Source organism: Homo sapiens, chromosome 4, assembly GCF_000001405.40.
Source record: "Homo sapiens chromosome 4, GRCh38.p14 Primary Assembly".
NCBI classification, from domain to species: domain Eukaryota; kingdom Metazoa; phylum Chordata; class Mammalia; order Primates; family Hominidae; genus Homo; species Homo sapiens.
In genome coordinates, this window is record NC_000004.12 from 54146412 (window position 1) to 54165060 (window position 18649).

The 18649-nt window shown below is 44.7% G+C and overlaps 1 pseudogene; it reads left to right on the forward strand.

Annotated features, from left to right (window-relative positions):
• Positions 1–852: 852 nt before the first annotated feature.
• LOC124900925 (uncharacterized) lies at positions 853–1050 on the forward strand (annotated as a pseudogene).
• Positions 1051–18649: the final 17599 nt, after the last annotated feature.

The window sequence follows — 18649 nt, forward strand, 5'->3', positions numbered from 1 at the left end:
AATGTAAACAAGTGATTGCTAGTATCAAGCTATTTGTGAATACAGAATTTTTTTTTCTTTTTTCAGAGGGAGCGTCGCTCTGTCACCCAGGCTGGAGTGCAGTGGCACAATCTCGGCTCACTGCAACCTCCGCCTCCTGCGTTCAAGTGATTCTCCTGCCTCAGTCTCCTGAGTAGCTGGGACTACAGGCATGCACCACCACATCCGGCTTTTTGTATTTTTAGTAGAGACGGGGTTTCACCATGTCAGCCAGGCTGGTCTCGAACTCCTGACCTCAAGCAATCCACCCACCTTGGCCTCCCAAAGTGCTGGGATTACAGGCGTAAGCCACCGTGCCTGGCCTGAATACAGAATTTTTGAAACATTTCTTTGGCTAAAACAGCATTTTTAAATAAGGAAATTTGCAGAGTTGAGGTTTCATTAGAGACATGAAGATTTAATTTGAGTTGTAATTTTTGACATCATTAAGAGTGAAGCAAAGTTTTTCAGAGATTTGAGCTATTTCATTGTGTTGACAGGTGTAATGATTAGAGCATCATAATCTACATGGATGTGGCTTCACTAAGCAGAAAATATAACATTTTGTATAATTAGAAGTTTGCTGTTTTGAGTACATCTTCTTCCATCTATTTATACTCACAAGTTCACCAGGGAAACACTTTCCCTCCAAATGCAGTGGGGTAGATATGAGTTGCTCTACATACTTGGGTGTATGAGTTGTCACCTCATCTATATGTTCTAAAATTACCTCTGATTCTTAACCTCGACTAGCCAAAGCAGTGAGAAAGTCCATTTCGGATATGTTTTGGGAAATTTCCCCCTTTTGTTAGGGTCACCTAAAAATCCAAGTTGAAGACTCTACTTCCAGGTATAATTTCTATGGTTTATTACTGGAAAAGTTTCTCTAAATATGTGGATCGCTGGAAATAAGAGGAAGCACAGGGTTCTCCGAGTGAAGCTGGCTTTTGGAATTACTTGGCTGCAACTGTCATTTGCTACTTTAAGATTTTACTTATTGATTTTTTTTTTTGAGACAGAGTCTCACTCTGTTGCCCAGTCTGGAGTGCAGTGGTGCGATCTCAGCTCACTGCAACCTCTGCCTCCCGGGTTCAAGCGATTCTCCTGCCATAGCCTCCTGAGTAGCTGGGACTATAGTCATGTGCCACCACGCTTGGCTAATTTTTGTATTTTAGTAGAGACAGGGTTTCAGCTGCTCTGCCTATGGAGTAGCCATTGTTTTATTCATTTACCTTAATAAACTTGCTTTTTTTTTTTTTTTAAATGAAAACCGCTCTGTTGGCCAGGGTGGTCTTGAACTTCTAACCTTAAGTATTCCACCTGCCTCAGTCTCTTAAAGTGCTGGAATTACAGGTATGAGCCACTATGCTCGGCCTGCCATTTTCTATTGATAATTTTCTTCGCTTCCTTGGGGAGAGTAAAAGGGAGAGAACACAGTCTGAGTAGTTCCTCTTCAAAATAAGCTGGGCGCAGTGGCTCACGCCTGTAATCCCAGCAATTTGGGAGGCCAAGGAGGGCAGAACACCTGAGGTCAGGAATTTGAGACCAGCCTGGCTAACATGGTGAAACCCCGTTTCTACTAAAAATTCAAAAAATTAGCTGGGCCTGGTGGCGCTTGCCTGTAATCCCATCTACTCAGGAGGCTGAAGCAGGAGAATCGCTTGAACCCAGGATGTGGAGGTTGCAGTGAGCTAAGATCATGCCATTGTAGTCCAGCTTGGGCAACAAGAGCAAAACTCCATCTCAAAATAAATAAATAAATACAGAAAATATAATCGAAGTTGGGAAGGGTCGTTGTCCTATCCAGCCAGTGGGGCGGGGCCCAGTCTTAACTGGAAGCATTGGGTTTCATTGCCTCAGTCTGCTCTGCTACAGGACTTTGTTACTCAGACCAGCCCTCCCTGCCCTTGCACAGGGATTCTTTCAGCAGGCTGAGGGACACTGTTCCCATGGTATGTCCGTAATTGGTGGGTTCTTGGTCTCACTGACTTCAATAATCAAGCTGCAGACCCTCATGGTGACTGTTAACAGTTCTTAAACATAGTGTGACTGGAGTTTGTTCCTTCTGATGTTTGGACGTGTTCGGAGTTTCTTCCTTCTGCTGGGTTCCTGGTCCCACTAGCTTCAGGAGTGAAGCTACAGACATTCGCTGGGAGTGTTACACCTCTTAAGGCAGCACTGGAGTTGTTCATTCCTCTCAGTGGGTTCATGATCTCACTAGCTTCAGGAGTGAAGCTACATACCTTCAGGTGAGTGTCACAGCTCATAAAGGCAGCAAGGCTCCAAAAAGTGAGCAGCCACAAGTCTTATTAGGAAGAACAAAAGAACAAACCTGCCACAACATGGTAGACGACCCAAGCAGATTGCCGCTGCTGGCTCTGGCACCCTGCTTTTATTCCCTTATCTCACTCCACCCACATCCTGCTGATTCGCCCATTTTACAGAGAGCTGATTGGTCCATTTTACAAAGAGCTGATTGGTCTGTTTTATAGAGAGCTGATTGGTCCGTTTTGACAGGGTGCTGATTGGTGCGTTTACAATCCCTGAGCTAGACACAGAGTGCTGATTGGTGTATTTACAATCCTCTAGCTAGACATAAAAGTGCTCCAAGTCCCTACTAGATTAGCTAGACACAGAGCACTGATTGGTGCATTTATAAACCTTGAGCTTGACACAGGGTGCTGATTGGTGCGTCTACGAACCCCTGCCCCCCACCAATGCTAGACACAGAGTGCTGATTGGTGCATTTACAATCCTCCAGCTAGACATAAAAGTTCTCCAAGTCCCCACTCCACTCAGGAACCCAGCTGGCTTTGCCTAGTGGATTCCCGCCCCAAGGCTGCTGGCAGAGCTGCCCACCAGTGCCCCGCCATGTGCCCGCACTCCTCAGCCGTTGGGCATCGATGGGGCCGGGCGCCGCGGAGCAGGGGGTGGGGAGGGGGCGGGGCGGCGGGGCTCCGGGGCTCGCGCATGGCGGGCTGCCAGTCGCCAGCCATGGGAGTCGGGGGAGCCGGGGGAGGAAGGCAGCTGAGGCCCGACGAGAATTCGAGCGCCGACCCGGTGGGCCAGCACTGCTGAGGGACCCGGCGCACCCTCTGCAGCTGCTGGCCCGGGTGCTAAGCCCCTCACTGACTGGTGCGGTGGCGCCGGCCGGCCGCTCCAAGTGCGGGGCCCGCCGAGCCCACGCCCATCCGGAACTCGCGCTGGCCGGCGAGCACGGGGCACGGCCCCGGTTCCCGCCCGCGCCTCTCCCTCCACACCTCCCTGCAAGCAGAAGGGTTCCTCAAGCGCGGCCAGAGTGGACACCGTGGCTTGAGGAGGTGCCGAGAGCGAGGCAGGGCTACTAGCATGTTGTCACCTCTCAATGGGTCTCTCCACTGACCACTGCCTCAGCCCACGGACACTCTCGCTGTGGTTCCCAAGGTATCTGTGTCCCCGGCCTAGCTCTCTGGCTTCCTGAAGCCATCTCTTACTGGTGCTCCATGCATGCAAACCTTGGGCCTCTTATCACTCTCAGAGGCTCCTTCTTCTTGTCTTTCTCTAGTCTTGGAGAAATATCTCTTAAGTTTCAGCATCAGCTTCTTCTCTTTCCCCTTTATAGACTTCTATCTCACCCACCTGCAAAAGAATAAACAGTGTGAGGGGCCGAAATGTCACTCCTTACACCACACCTCCTAAACAGAGAAGACAAAACATAAATGAGTGTCTCCCGTAATTGCCCCTCACACCAGTATTATTTTGCATCGTGTCTTTTTTGTCAGAATCTATGAGGTTTTTGTTTGTTTAAGTTCTCTCTCTGTCACGCAGGCTGGAGTACAGTGGCACAATCATGGCTTACTGCAGGTTCCACCCCCTGGTCTCAAGCAACCCTTCTGCCTCAGCCTCCCAAGTAGCTGGGACTATAGGTATGCACCACCACACTTGGCTAATGTTTAATTTTTTTTGTAGAGACAGCATCTCAATGTGTTGCCAAGGCTAGTCTTGAACTCCTGAGCTCAAGTGATCCTCCTGCCTTAGCCTCCCAGGGTGCTTTTCCTACTAGATACCCTACATACCTTCTTGCTAGATCAAAAGCAGACAAGAATCTGCTTTTGATCTAGCTGGAAGGTATGTAGGGTATCTAGTAGGAAAAAAGCTGGCTTCAGAGCTGTGAGTCCTGCCAGGGGCTGGGAAAAGGTGGAAAGGGGAGAAACTGCTTAGTGGGTAAGGAATTTTACTTTGGCGAGATGAAAATGTTTCTGGAATTCGATAGAGGTGATGGTTGTACAATATTGCGAATATACTCAATGCTATGGAATTGTTTACTTTTAAGTATTTATGTTATCTGAATTTTACCTCAATAACTTATTAAAAAAGAAAAAAGCAATGAGTCCTCATGCTGGTGCCATGGGGCTTATTGGTACGAGAGTACACTGGGCTAAAAAGAGAACCCACCCGTCTCCCGCAGTTGGAAGCTAAATGACCTTGGTCAATTTCCCTAACCCCAGTTTTCTCATATGTAAGCTGGGGATAATAATTCTCAGTTGGCAAGGATGCTGTTAGGGCAAAATTAGGTCATTTGTGAGAAGCACCAGGCACAGTGTCTGGCCCATTGAGGGGGTCACTTCTTCATAGCACCCAATCTCTGCTTCTTAGGCAGATGATCTAGGTTCTGCCAATGCCTCATGTTTGACCTGTTGGCTTTGGGGAATGAGTGGAAATGTCATCAGCTGAGGTTGAAAGAGAAAGAGGTTCTCATTAGGTAAGAACACTGGTTTGGGACATGCTGAATTTGAGACGATTGTGAGACATAATAGGTCGGAAGCTGGAGTCTGAGGCTGGCAGAGATGGCAGTCAGACTGGACATTGAGATTTCAGTCATCCAGTATGTAGGCAGCCACTAGGACCCTGAAAAAGGACTTGGCCCAGGGGAGATTGGAGTGAACAGGTAGAGGGCTTGAGGTGAAAGACTGGGAAATATCATTTAAGGGTTAGGTGAATCCTGTACTCATGAAGGTTATTCAACCCTATCTGTCCACAGGCTTACCTTGTACACCTCTCTGTCTCTGCTCACTCCATTCTAACTTACTCTGTTCATTCATCTTTCCAGATTTCTATCTACAGAGCTTTTCCAGTCTTGATGTCTGCTTGGTTTGTTTCTCTGCCTCTTGACTCAGTGCTTCATTCTCTGGCTAGAGCACAAATTTACCCATCCTGGTTCCCCAAGTTCCTTTCATCCAGCGTGGCATCAAGGAAGTCTGTTCATGATAACCAGGTCCAGTGTGCTCTCATAATTGATCTCCAAAGAGCAGTGCTTTCTAGATTAATTCTCAGCTGGGTCTTGTCTCTTCACACTTCACTTTTTTTTTGAGATGGAGTCTCACTCTGTCACCCAGGATGCAGTGCAGTGGCGCAATCTTGGCTCATGGCAATCTCCGCCTCCCGAGTTCAGGCAATTCTCCTACCTCAGCTTCCCAAGTAGCTGAGATTACAAGCACGTGCCACCATGTCTTGCTAATTTTTGTATTTTTAGTAGAAATGGGGTTTCACCATGTTAGCCAGGTTGGCCACAAACTCCTGGCCTCAAGTGATCTGCCTGCCTCAGCCTCCCAAAGTGTTGGGATTACAGGTGTGAGCCAAGATGTCCAGACTCTTTACACTTCATTTCTAACATGCCAGGTCCTACCCTCTTCCTTGCTTACCTTGGCACCTGGATTTCCCTGATTTTGAACTGATTATTTGGCTCTTGATTCCTGGCCTTACTTTGTCTTTGTGGATATTTGTTTGTTCTGTCTGTTTTAATTCAGCAAATATTTATTGAGGGCCTACTATGTGCCAGGCCTTATTTTAGGGTCTAGGAATACAGCAGAAACAAAACAGAACAAAATCCCTATGTTTGTGGAAAGTAGATGGGGAAAAAAAAAGCGGGAAAGTGGGATAAGGAGTGTTGAGGAGTGAGTTACAAGTTTAACTAGGGTGGTCAGGGCATCCTCCCACTGAGAAGTTATCATTCAGGACAGAGGAAAGAGCCAGTCAAAGGCCTTGAGGCAGGAGCATACCTGGAGTGTTTGGGAGCATCAAGGAGGCCAGGATGGCTACAGCAGAGAAAGTGCTAAGGAGGGTTGTCAAGGAGAGATCAGCACAGTACAGGTGGTGATGAGGACATTGTTTAGGGTCCTACAAGCCACTGTAAGAAAATCAGCATTTCCTATGAGTGATGGGGAGCCTCTGGAGCATTTTGGGGATCAGTCTGGCTTTGTGGAGACCCAGTCATCCAGCTTCCTACAGTCCACTTCCAGGCTTGCCTCCACACTTTTTTTTTGTTTGTTGTTCGGTTTTAATTCATGTCATTGTACCCAGAGAAAATGTTTCAGCTGGACCCTGCTTCAGTTCTACTTCTAATAACTATGCCTCAATTCACGTGTCACTTGGAAAGTAAATGAAGATGGTATTACTGATTCAATCATCCGTCAAATAGACATATAATTATAAACTTAGAAAAGTGCTATCAAGAAAAATTGCATGAGGGCATACCAAGGAATGCCAAGAATTGCTGGCAACTACCGGAAGCTGGGAGAGTTCAGGAATGATTCTTCCCTAGAGCCTTTGGAGAGAGTGTGGCCCTGCTAACACCTTGACTTCTAGCTCCAGAACTATGAGACAACAAATTTCTGTGGTTTTAAGTCCCTCCACACCCACACCCAGAAGTACATGATGTTTGGCAGTGCATCATGGGGAAAGAGACTGGGTAAACAAGGCAGAGTCCCCTTGAGAAAGTACCTTGAAAAAAAAGATTTTACTGTTTTTTTAAGAGACAGGGTCTCATACCATCACCCAGGCTGGAGTGCAGTGCCATGATCATAGCTCACTGTAGCCTCAACTCCCGGGTTCAAGTGATCCTCCCACCTCAGCCTCTTGATTAGCTGGTAACCCAGGTGTGTGCCACCACACCCAGCTAATTTATTAAAAACAAGGTTTGAAGGATGAGTAGGAGTTAGGTAAGTGTGAATGGGGGCAGAGGGATATGTTTTTGCATGTAGACCAGTATCTACAAAGGCCCTAGAGCAGAGAAAAGTGAGGCCAATTCCATTAAAGGAAGAAAGGCTAGTGTGAGGTTGAAGCACCAGGTTGGGAAGAGAGGCAAGAATTGAGCATGGGGAGGTGACACCATGTAAACAGTTGTGTTTTTAGCATTTGGCAGTGAATCTTTTAGCGTTAAATCTGTGAATATGTTTCCTGACTGTGACCGTAAATTTTTTGTGTCAACTTGACTGGGCCATGGGGTGCTCAGCTATTTGGTCCAACTTGATTCTGGGTATGTCTGTGAGGGTGTTTCTGGATGTGATTAACATTTGAATTGGTAGAGTTAGTAAAGCAGTTACCCTCCTCCAATGTGAGTGGGCCTCCTCCAATCCAGTGGAGGCCTGAAGAGAATAAAAGGCTGAGTAAGAAAGGATGCTCTCTCTCTCTGCCTGTCTTTGGGCCAGGACATTGGTTGTTTCCTGCCCTTGACCTCAGGCTCAGGCTGGATGTATACCATCAGCTCTCCTGGATTTGGACTTCTCAGCCTCCATAACTGTGTGAATCAATTCCTTATAATAAACTAATTTCTCTATCTCTGTTTTTCTACATCTCTGTATCCATACGTCCTACTGATTCTGTCTCTCTGGAGAGCCCTGATTAATCCTGACCAATTGACATAAGCAAACAGAGAGATTATCAATCAAACTGTGTCTGGAATTGGTGGGTTCTTGGTCTCACTGACTTAAAGAATGAAGCCGCGGACCCTCGCGGTGAGTGTTACAGCTCTTAAGGTGGCGCATCTGGAGTTTGTTTCTTCTGATGTTAAGATGTGTTTGGAGTTTCTTCCTTCTGGTGGGTTCATGGTCTCGCTGGCTCAGGAGTGAAGCTGCAGACCTTCGCGGTGAGTGTTACAGCTCTTAAGGCAGCGCGTCTGGAGTTGTTCGTTCCTCCCGGTGGGCTTGTGGTCTCTCTGGCTTCAGGAGTGAAGCTGCAGATCTTCGCGGTGAGTGTTACAGCTCATAAAGGCAGTGTGGACCCAAAGAGTGAGCAGTAGCAAGATTTATTTCAAAGAGCGAAAGAACAAAGCTTCCACAGTGTGGAAGGGGACCCGAGCCAGTTGCCATTGCTGGCTCGGGCAGCCTGCTTTTATTCTCTTATCTGGCCCCACCCACATCCTGCTGATTGGTAGAGCCGGGTGGTCTGTTTTGAGAGGGTGCTGATTGGTGCTAGGTTTACAATCCCTGAGCTAGATACAAAGGTTCTCCATCTCCCCATCAGATTAGTTAGATACAGAGTATCGACACAAAGGTTCTCCAAGGCCCCACCAGAGCAGCTAGATACAGAGTGTCGATTGGTGCACTCACAAACCTTGAGCTAAACACAGGGTGCTGATTGGTGTGTTTACAAACCTTGAGCTAGATACAGAGTGCCAATTGGTGTATTTACAATCTCTGAGCTAGACATAAAGGTTCTCCAAGGCCCCACCAGAGCAGCTAGATACAGAGTGTCGATTGGTGCACTCACAAACCCTGAGCTAGACACAGGGTGCTGATTGGTGTGTTTACAATCCCTGAGCTAGACATAAAGACTCTCCACGTCCCCACCAGACTCAGGAGCCCAGCTGGCTTCACCCAGTGGATCCTGCACCAGGCCGCAGGTGGAGCTGCCTGCCAGTCCTGCGCCATGCGCTCGCACTCCTCAGCCCTTGGGCGGTCGATGGGACTGGGCGCAGTGGAGCAAGGGGCAACGCTCGTCGGGGAGGCTTGGGCCACACAGGAGCCCACGGAGGGGGTGGGAGGCTCAGGCCTGGCGGGCTGCAGGTCCCGAGCCCTGCCCCGAGGGAAGGCAACTAAGGCCCAGTGAGAAATCGAGTGCAACGCCAGTGGGCTGGCACTGCTGTGGGACCCAGTATACCCTCCACAGCCACTGGCCCAGGTGCTAAGCCCCTCACTGCCTGGGGCCGGCAGGGCCGGCCGGCTGCTCCGAGTGCGGGGCCGCCAAGCCCACACCCACCCGGAACTCCAGCTGGCCCGCAAGCGCCGCGCACAGCCCCGGTTCCCGCTCGCGCCTCTCCCTCCACACCTCCCTGCAAGCTGAGGGAGCCGGCTCTGGCCTTGGCCAGCCCAGAAAGGGGCTCCCACAGTGCAGCGGTGGGCTGAAGGGCTCCTCAAGTGCCGCCAAAGTGGGAGCCCAGGCAGAGGAGGTGCCGAGAGCAAGTGAGGACTCTGAGGACTGCCAGCACGCTGTCACCTCTCAAAACCATATCGGTATCTACGTTCAGAGCCTACATTCAGGCTCTTCCTTTATCCAGACAGCACCTAGATATTTCTTTGGGGAACCTACTTCTCCCTGCCTAGGGAATTTGTAGTAGTCAAGTGCTTTGAGTAGTGTTGTGTTAGTCAATTTTGCATTGCTGAAAAAGAATACCTGAGATTGGGTAATTTATAAAGGAAAGAGGTGTATTTGGCTCATAGTTCTACAGGCTGTACAGGCATGGCACCAGCAGCTGCTCAGCTTCTGGTGTGGCCTTAGGATGTTTTACTTGTGGCAGAAGGCTGATGGGGAGCAGGTGTGTCACATAGCAAGAAAGGGAACAAGAGAGAGAGGAGGAGGTACCAGTTTCCTTAAACAACCAGCTCTCATGTGAACTAATAGAGTGAAAACTCATTCATTACCTCAGGGCAGGCACCAAGCCATTCATGAGGGATCCACCCCTGTGACCCAAACACCTCCCACCAGACTCCACCCGCAACACTAGGGATCACATTTCAACATGAGACTTGGAGAGAACAATTATCCAAACCATATCAAGTGTGGGCTATGCCTGTAGCCATAAGCATAGGCTTTGATTGTTGGAAGTCAATCAATATTTTCTGGAGGCTTCATAGTGGTCCCTAGTAATGTCATCTCTTTTCTAACTAGATTCTGAACAATCAGTTGAGAGATAAACCAGAGTAATATCAAGGTCCCAAACAGCACTTTTATTGCCATACAGCAATTTGAACCAGCTAGAACACATGGTTCAAATCTGTTAAACAAGTGGACTCAACTCCAAATAATGCAGACCTAGGCACCCAGTCATAGGCCGTGATGGACTTTGATAGGTCCTGCTACATGGATTAACAGAAGAGAACTCCTCTTCTCTGAGGGAAGTTCCCCAAATGGAATGGCAGTTCTGCCTTTCCAAAAGAAAACTGTGTAGAGCATTCTCAGTTAAGTTTTACAAAATTATCAATCAGATGGGTTGATATATCTTGCCAGAGCCAGAGAGGCTAGAGTTACACTAATTGAGACAACATTAGGCATGAGAAAGAAGCATTCTTCATAAAATATGCTAGTTCATCCTTCTTGCCACAGTGATTGGTTCAAAGATAAGTAGTAACTCAGGTCTAAGCCCATAGAAATTCCCTATCCTGGCTGGGCACAGTATCTCATACCTGTAATCCTAGCACTTTGGGAGGCCAAGGCAGGAGAAACACTTGAGCCCAGGAGTTCAAGACCAGCCTGGGCAACATAGTGAGACAATCTCTACCAAAAATTTTAAAATTATCTGGACATGGTGGCACCCGCCTGTAGTCCCAGCTACTCAGGAGGCTGAGGAGGAAGGATCACTTGAGCCAGGGAGGCCAAGGCTATAGTGAGCTGTGATTGCACCACTGTAGTCTAGCCTGGGTGATAGAGTGAGACCTTGTCAAGAGAAAGGAAGGAAGGAAGGAAGGGGGGAGGGAGGGAAAAGAAAAAGGGGGGGGAGGAAGGAAGGAAGGGGGGAGGGAGGGAAAAGAAAAAGGGGGGGGAGGAAGGAAGGGGGAGGAAGGGAGGGAGGGAGGGAGGGAGCCGGGCATGGTGGCTCACACTTGTAATCCCAGCACTTTGGGAGGCCAAGGTGGGCGGATCACCTGAGGTTGGGAGTCCGAGACCAGCCTGACCAACAGGGAGAAACTCTGTCTCTACTAAAAGTACAAAATTAGCCAGGCGTGGTGGTGCATGCCTGTAATCCCAGCTTTTTGGGAGGCTGAGGCAGAAGAATCGCCTGAACCTGGGAGGCGGAGGTTGTGGTGAGCCGAGATCACGCCATTGCACTCCAGCCTGGGCAACAAGAGTGAAACTCCGTCAAGAAGAAAGAAAGAAAGACAGGGAGAGAGAGAGAGAGAGAGAGAGAGAGAGGGAAGGAAGGGAGGGAGGGAGGGAGGAGGGAGGGAGGAAGGAATTCCCTAGCCTCAGAGATTGGTCCAGATTGCCCCAATCAGAATGAAGTGCCAGTGTTTGATACTAGAAAGGGGCCTTTGGAGGGAAGACTTCTTGTTGTTAAACACTTTGCTTCCATGAGGTAAGTTAGCCTGAGGAGGAAGCTGACTTGTGGAGGAGAGCAGAGCTGTGAAAAAAAGGGAAATACTGAGTTGGAGTCCTGATCAAAACATGCCTGACATGTTCCTTGGGTTTTTTTTAGTTACATGAGCCAATAAATGTTCTTTACCATTTAAGCCAGCTTAAATTAGGTTTTCTTTTACTGTAACCAGAATTCTTCTAAAAGATACACTTATACCTCATCTATTTTAAAACCAGACTCAAATCTCATCACCTCTAAGAATGTTTCCATAATCAATCCTATGTACCTTTATATTACACTTGCCTGGGGCTGAGAGTTCTGGGTTACCTAGTGTATACTGTAATTTTTTTGCACTATTATCACTTATTAGTGTTTTCATGGTATATATTTTCTCTTTTTTCTTTCAGTCTGTGTCCTTAGAGTTTCTTGTGAACAGCATATAGTTGAGTCTTGTTTTTGTTAAAATTTAGTTTGACAGTTTCCACTGTGATGTTATTCTATTTACATTAAATTTGCTATAGATATGATTGGTTTAATGGGCCCTATATGTTCTTTGTTATTCCTTTGTTGCTTGTTTACAAATTAAGTTAAGGAGAAGGAGAGGAGGAGGAGGAAGAGGAAGAGGAAGAAGAAGAAGAAGGAGGAGGCGGTGGCAGCTGGGCATGGTGGCTTATGCCTGTAATCCCAGCACTTTGGGAGGCTGAGGTTGAAGGATTGTTTGAGGCCAAGAGTTCGCTACCAGCCTGGTCAATACAGCAAGACCCTGTCTCTATTAAAAAAAAAAAAAAAAAAAAGTTGGCTGGGTGCAGTGGCTCACACCTGTAATCCCAGCACTTTGGGAGGTGGAGGCGGGCAGATCACGAGGTCAGGAGATTGAGACCATCCTGGCTAACACAGTGAAACGCTGTCTCTACTAAAAATTACAAAAAATAATATTAGCTGGGTATGGTGGCAGGCGCCTGTAGTCCCAGCTACTCGGGAGGCTGAGGCAGGAGAATGGCATGAACCCAGGTGGTGGAGCTTGCAGTGAGCCAAGATCACTCCACCGCACTCCAGCTTGGGCAACAGTGTGAGACTGTATCTCAAAAAAAAAAAAAGGTAAAAAAAAGTAAAAATTAAGAATTATTCACTATTCTCAATATATCAGTATTATATATTATATGTTACATAAGGATTATTCAGTATTCATGTATATGTGTGTGTATATATATATATATGTATGTATTAGAGATGGGGTTTCACTTTGTTGCCCAGGCTAGTCTCAAACCCCTGGTTTCAAGTGATCTGCCTACCTCAGCCTCCCAAAGTGCTGAAAGTATAGGCATGAGCCACTGTGCCCAGCCAGTATTCTATTTTATCTTACCTATTGTTTTTCTAGTAATATCTCTTGGTATTTTTTTAGTGGTTACTAAAGATTACAATATGTGTTCTTACCTTTTCCTTATTTTATCATTTCATAAACAATGTAAGAAACTTACTACAGTATAATTTTATTACCCTTCTGCCCTTGTGCAAATGTCATGTATTTTTTCATTATCGATTATTTTGCTATTCTATTTGCTTTAAATGGTCAATAGTCTCCTAAAGAAAGTTTCTAAAGAGTACTTTATGTTTTTTCACATCTTTGCCCATTCTGGTGGCGTTCACAGATTCCTGGAGAAAAACTTCGTTGAGTGTTACTCATAATGCTGGTCTGCAAGTGACAATTTTTTTCTGTTTCTGTTTTTATTTAGCTTTCATTTTTAAAGGGTGCTTTTGAAGGTATAGATTTCTAGGTTGACAGGTTTTGTTTGTTTGTTTGTTTTCCAGATGTCGTTCCATCATTTTCTGTCTTCCGTTTTTTTTCTCTTAAGAAGTTAACCAACATTCTTATTTTTCTATTCATAAGCATAATAGATCCTTTCCCCTGCCCTGGCTTCTTTTAAAATATCTCTAGGTATAGTTTTTTTTTTTTAAATCTAGCTTAGTGTTCACTGTGATTATTGGATATATGGGTTCATATCTTTCATCAATTTTAGAAAACTCTTGGCCACTATCTTTTAAAATATTTATTTTGCCCCAGTTTCTCCTCTGTTCCTGGATTCCAATTACCTGTATGCTAGATATATGGTTTGAATGTGTCCTCCAGAGTTCACGTATTGAAAACTTAATCCTTGGCTGGGCACAGTGGCTAATGCCTGTAATACCAGCACTTTAGGAGGCCAAGGTGGATGGATCACAAGGTCAGAAATTTGAGACTAGACTGGCCAACATAGTGAAACCCCATCTCTACTAAAAATACAAAAATTAGCTAGGTGTGGTGGTGCATGCCTGTAGTCCCAACTACTCAGGAGGATGAGGCAGGAGAACCGCTTGGACCTGGGAGGCGGAGGTTGCAGTGAGCCGAGACTGTGTCATTGCACTCCATCCTCAGTGACAGAGTGAGACTCTGTCTCAAAAAGAAAAAAAGAAAATAGAAAACTTAATCCCCAATGCAACAATGTTGAGAGGTAGAATATTTACAAGGTGATTAAGTCGCAAGGGCTCTGCCCTTGTGAATGGACTAATATAATCATGAGAGTGGGTTTATTATAGTGAGCATTAGTTTATGAGGAAATCAATTTTAGCTCTCTCACTCTCTGTCATTCTCATGCATATACCTGCTCTCTTGCCCTTTCACCTTCTGTCATGAAATAACGCAGCAAGAAGGTCCTCAACTCATGCAGGCCTTTCAACCTTGGACTTCCCAGACTTCAGAAATGTAAGAAATAAATCTCTGTTATTTATACATTATGCAGTCATGGGTACTCTGTTATAGCAGCATAAAACAGACTAAAAGACAACTCAGTTGCCTAATATTTACTTTTAGTCTCTGATTCTTTGTTCCCCATTTTTGTTTTCCTCATTCTTTTATTCTGTTTTCAATTTGAATAATTTTTACTGACCTATCTTGCAGTTCACTTATTCTTTTTTCTGCTATATTGATTTGTTATTAAACTTATACAATCAATACTTCATTTTAGATATTGTTATTTTTTTAGTTCATTTTCTTATTTTAGCTGAGATTCTCTTATCTCTTGTTTCACTCATCTTTTTATCTAAATTGTTTAACATATTTGTAATAGTTATTTGAAAATTTTTGTCTGCTAATTCTAACACTAGGGTTACCTGTGAGTCTGCTTTTATTGAGTTTTTTTTCTTTTCATTATGGGTCATATTTCCCCCCCTTTTTTTTACATATTTTGCATTTCTTGTTTTAGACTTCCGTGTGTGTATGAGTATTTATAAATAATATTTACCACCACCACCCCTGCTCCCCACTGCACCAAGATGATTCCCTTTCCTCTATCAGGAAGCTAGGTTTGGTTGGGGGTAATCTCTTCAGTCTAATCAGAACTTGGGGTTGCCACTTTTGTTGATTTCAGTTCAATCCACTTATGGTATTGTATGTCTTAGGCATGATCCAGTTTCTTTTCTCTGATAGGGCTTTGAAATTTTAGCATCATGAGATCCCTATGCTTTCCAGCCCAGTCATCAGTTTCTTGTTTCACGAGAGTCAAGCAGGTAATTTTAACAAGTAAAGTCAGCCAGATGGGGACTATTGTGATCTGGAGGGCAGGGGGAACCACAAATCAACTCTATTCTACTGACACCATTCAAGAATTTGAGTCCTGGTTGTCAGATTTTCCTTTTCTTTTCTAAAAGAATCCTGAAATTCAGATCCTTATGTGTATTTCCCAGTATTTTCTGTTGGCTAATCATTTAAAAATCTTTCAAAGCACAGCTCAGGCCTGACAAAATATATCTTTTTCCTTAATTCAGTCCATGGACCACTAGTTTTCAGTCTCCAATGTCATCCAGCTGCTTCGTGTTAGGTAATAAGGCCCAAACAGTACTTAACCTAACTCAGTTCAGAAAAGACAGCTTCCTACAAAAAATTAGCCAGGTGTGGTGGTGCGCACCTGTAATCCCAGCTACTTGGGAGGCTGAGGCATGAGAATCACTTGAGCCTCGGAGGCAGAGGTTGCAGTGAGCCGAGATCGCGCCACTGCACTCCAGGAGCCTGTGCGACAGAGCAAGACTGTATCAAAATAAATAAATAAGTAAAGTAACTAAAAATAAATAAAAAGAAAAGAGGACTTCCTGAAGCTAAGAAAAATCAATTCTTAAAAGTTAATACAATTTTAAATTTGATTGCCAGTTTATTATAAGATGTTTTAATCAGATATTTTGCCAAAGTTAGAAAGGGCTAGGATCATGCCTGTAATCCGAACACTTTGGCAGCCCGAGGTGGGTGGATCACTTGAGGTCAGGAGTTTGAAACCAGCCTGGCCAACATGGTAAAACCCCATCTCTACTAAAAATACAAAAAAATTATCCAGGCATGGTCGTGGGCACCTGTATTCCCAGCTACTTGGGAGGCTGAGGCAGGAGAATCGTTTGAACCTGGGAGGCAGAGGTTGCAGTGAGCCGAGATTGTGCCACTTCACTCCAGCCTGGTTGACAGAGTGAGATGCCATCTCAAAAAAAGAAAAAAAAAAAAGAAAGAAAGAAAAGAAAATATAAAAACAGTTCATCCAGTAGAATGAGACATGGTGGATTAATTTTAGAGGACAGTTATGTCTAAGTGTAGATTTTCCACTGCAAAGACAGATGTATTAGTATTATCTCCAGATAATTAAGGAAATAGACAAAACAACTCAAACATACAAGTTCTAATGTTTTTATCACACAAACATATACGAATTTTGCCCTGTATTCTTGGAGAAACACAACCATTTTCTCCCTACAACTTGCTTCTCTAGCAATAGGATCTGCCAGAGAATACAGCTATGAGTATGTTTTCCAGGAAAAATTTGTTGTATTTTAAATTGACAATTTTTTCATCTTTTCATATGAAAGCCTTATTTGCTATTTATAGAGGCCTATTGTTTTAGCTGCCTACCTGGTTGGAGTGACAAAGAACCAGCTTTTCTTGCTGAAAACTGAACTAAACCATTTTAATACTCCTGCTTCCCTAGACAAACTTTTTCTAAATAAACATAATCATGGGTGCTGGGTGTTTTATTTTGTAATTAAAGCCTAAAATCATCCCTTGTCTTATATTCCTCTTCACATCTATACATATACTCATCCTTTTCTACCTCCCTCATGCACAGAACCACAAATTTACAACTGACTGAAATGAATATGTTTCATGATGTATTTATTTTTCTCTCCAAGTTCTGCAAGAAAAACTGTCTAGAAGCCAGTGACCATTAATAACTCCTTTCTTGCCAAGTAGCTACTGGTATTTGTTCAAAACATATTCATAGCTTGCCACTCTAACAACTTGGAAAGTAGTTTAAAATCACTACCATCCTTTTCCATCCCACAGCAATTTTGCATTTCAGTGCTTCACTGGACATCTCAGGAATAATCAATAGGACTCAGATTTTCCTCTTAACTTGTAGGGTAGAACTTTGATTGGTAGGGATGTCAAATCTTGGAAGGTTTGACTAAACCCCACTTCCTTCTCCTTCCCCTCAATGTGGGCATCCCTAAGACTCTGTCCTTTTCTTGCTCCTAATTTTCTTCCTCAGAGCTCTCACCTCTCCCGTGGGATCAATGATTCCTTTCATAAAGATGGTTGGTAGAACTATCATCTTACTATGTTTGTGTTCTTATATGTAACATTGTGTATTTTATATATAACATAAAATGTACTATTTTAGCCATTTTAAGCATACATTTCAGTGACATTATTGTGCAACCATCACCACCATCACACATCTCCAGAACTTTTATCTTCCCAAACTGAAACTCCATCCCATTAAACAGTAACTTCCCATTCCTTCCTTCTCCAAGCCCCTGGCAACCACCATTCCACTTTTTGACTCTATGATTTTTTTTTTTTTTTCAGATAAGGTCTCACTCTGTCACCTAGGCTGGAGGGCAGTGGCGTGATCTCAGTTCACTGCAACTTCTGCCTCCCGGATTCAAGTGATTCTCCTGCCTCAGCCTCCCAAGTAGTTGGGATTACAGGTGGGTACCACCATATCTGGCTAACTTTTGTATTTTTATTTTATTTATTTATTTATTTTTGAGATGGTGTCTCACTCGGTTGCCCAAGCTGGAGTGCAGTGGCATGATCTCGGCTCACTGCAACTTCCACCTCCCGAGTTCAAGTGATTTTCCTGCCTCAGCCTCCAGAGTAGCTGGGATTACAGGCGCCTGCCACCATGCCCTGCTAATTTTTATATTTTTAGTAGAGATGGAGTTTCATCATGTTGGCCAGGCTGATCTTGAATTCCTGACCTCAAGTGATCCGCACGTCTCGGCCTCCTAAAGTGCTGGGATTACAGGCGTGAGCCACTGTGCCTGGCCAAAGTTTCTTTTCTAACATCTCGTATAAAGACTTCTCTTCTAAGCTCCATCTCCACACTTCCAGCTGTAGTGGATACTTTTCTTAGTTGTGCTATGGCTGATCAGTCCTTCTGTATGAAACTCCTACTCCTCAGTAACTCAGGCTTAAGAAATATAAGGTAGCTTTTACTTTTCATCTCTTTTATTGTCATTATTCCAACTTAGACTCTTAATATTTTTACCTCTACCTCCAATTCATACTGTTCTATCTTGCTAAACTAAACTTAAAATATCTTCTGTCACTTTCCTTTCCAATACCCTCTAGCTTATTAAATAATTTCTAAAATTCTTAGCTAAATGTCAGAGGCCCTCTTGATCTATTCCTTACTCTTAGTTTGTTTGGAATACTATAACAAAATATCTTAGACTGGGTAAATTATAAATAAGAGAAACGTATTTTTCCACAGTTCTGAAGGCTGGGAAGTCCCCGATCAAGGCACTAGCAGATTTGAGTCTGGTAAAGGCTTACCCTCTGGTTCATAGATGACATCTCTTGCTGTGTCCTCACACGGTGGAAGGGGCAAACTCTGTGTCCTCACATGGCAGAAGGGCAAAAGTGGGAACAAATGCTGTGCCATCACATGGCAGAAGAGATGGAAAGGCCAGGAAGCTCTCTAATGGACTTGTAAAAGGCCATTATTAATTCCATTGTTTGAGAGTTAATCACTTTCCCAAATGCCCCACCTCTTAATACCACCACGATGAGGATTAATTTTTTTTTTTTTCAACCTGGAGTTTCACTCTTGTTGCCCAGGCTGGAGTACAATGGCACGATCTCAGCTCACTGCAACCTCTGCCTCCCGTTTCAAGCGATTCTCCTACCTCAGCCTCCCGAGTAGCTGGGATTACAGGTGCATGCCACCACGGCTGGCTAAGTTTTGTATTTTCAGTAGAGACAGGGGTCTCACCATGTTGGTC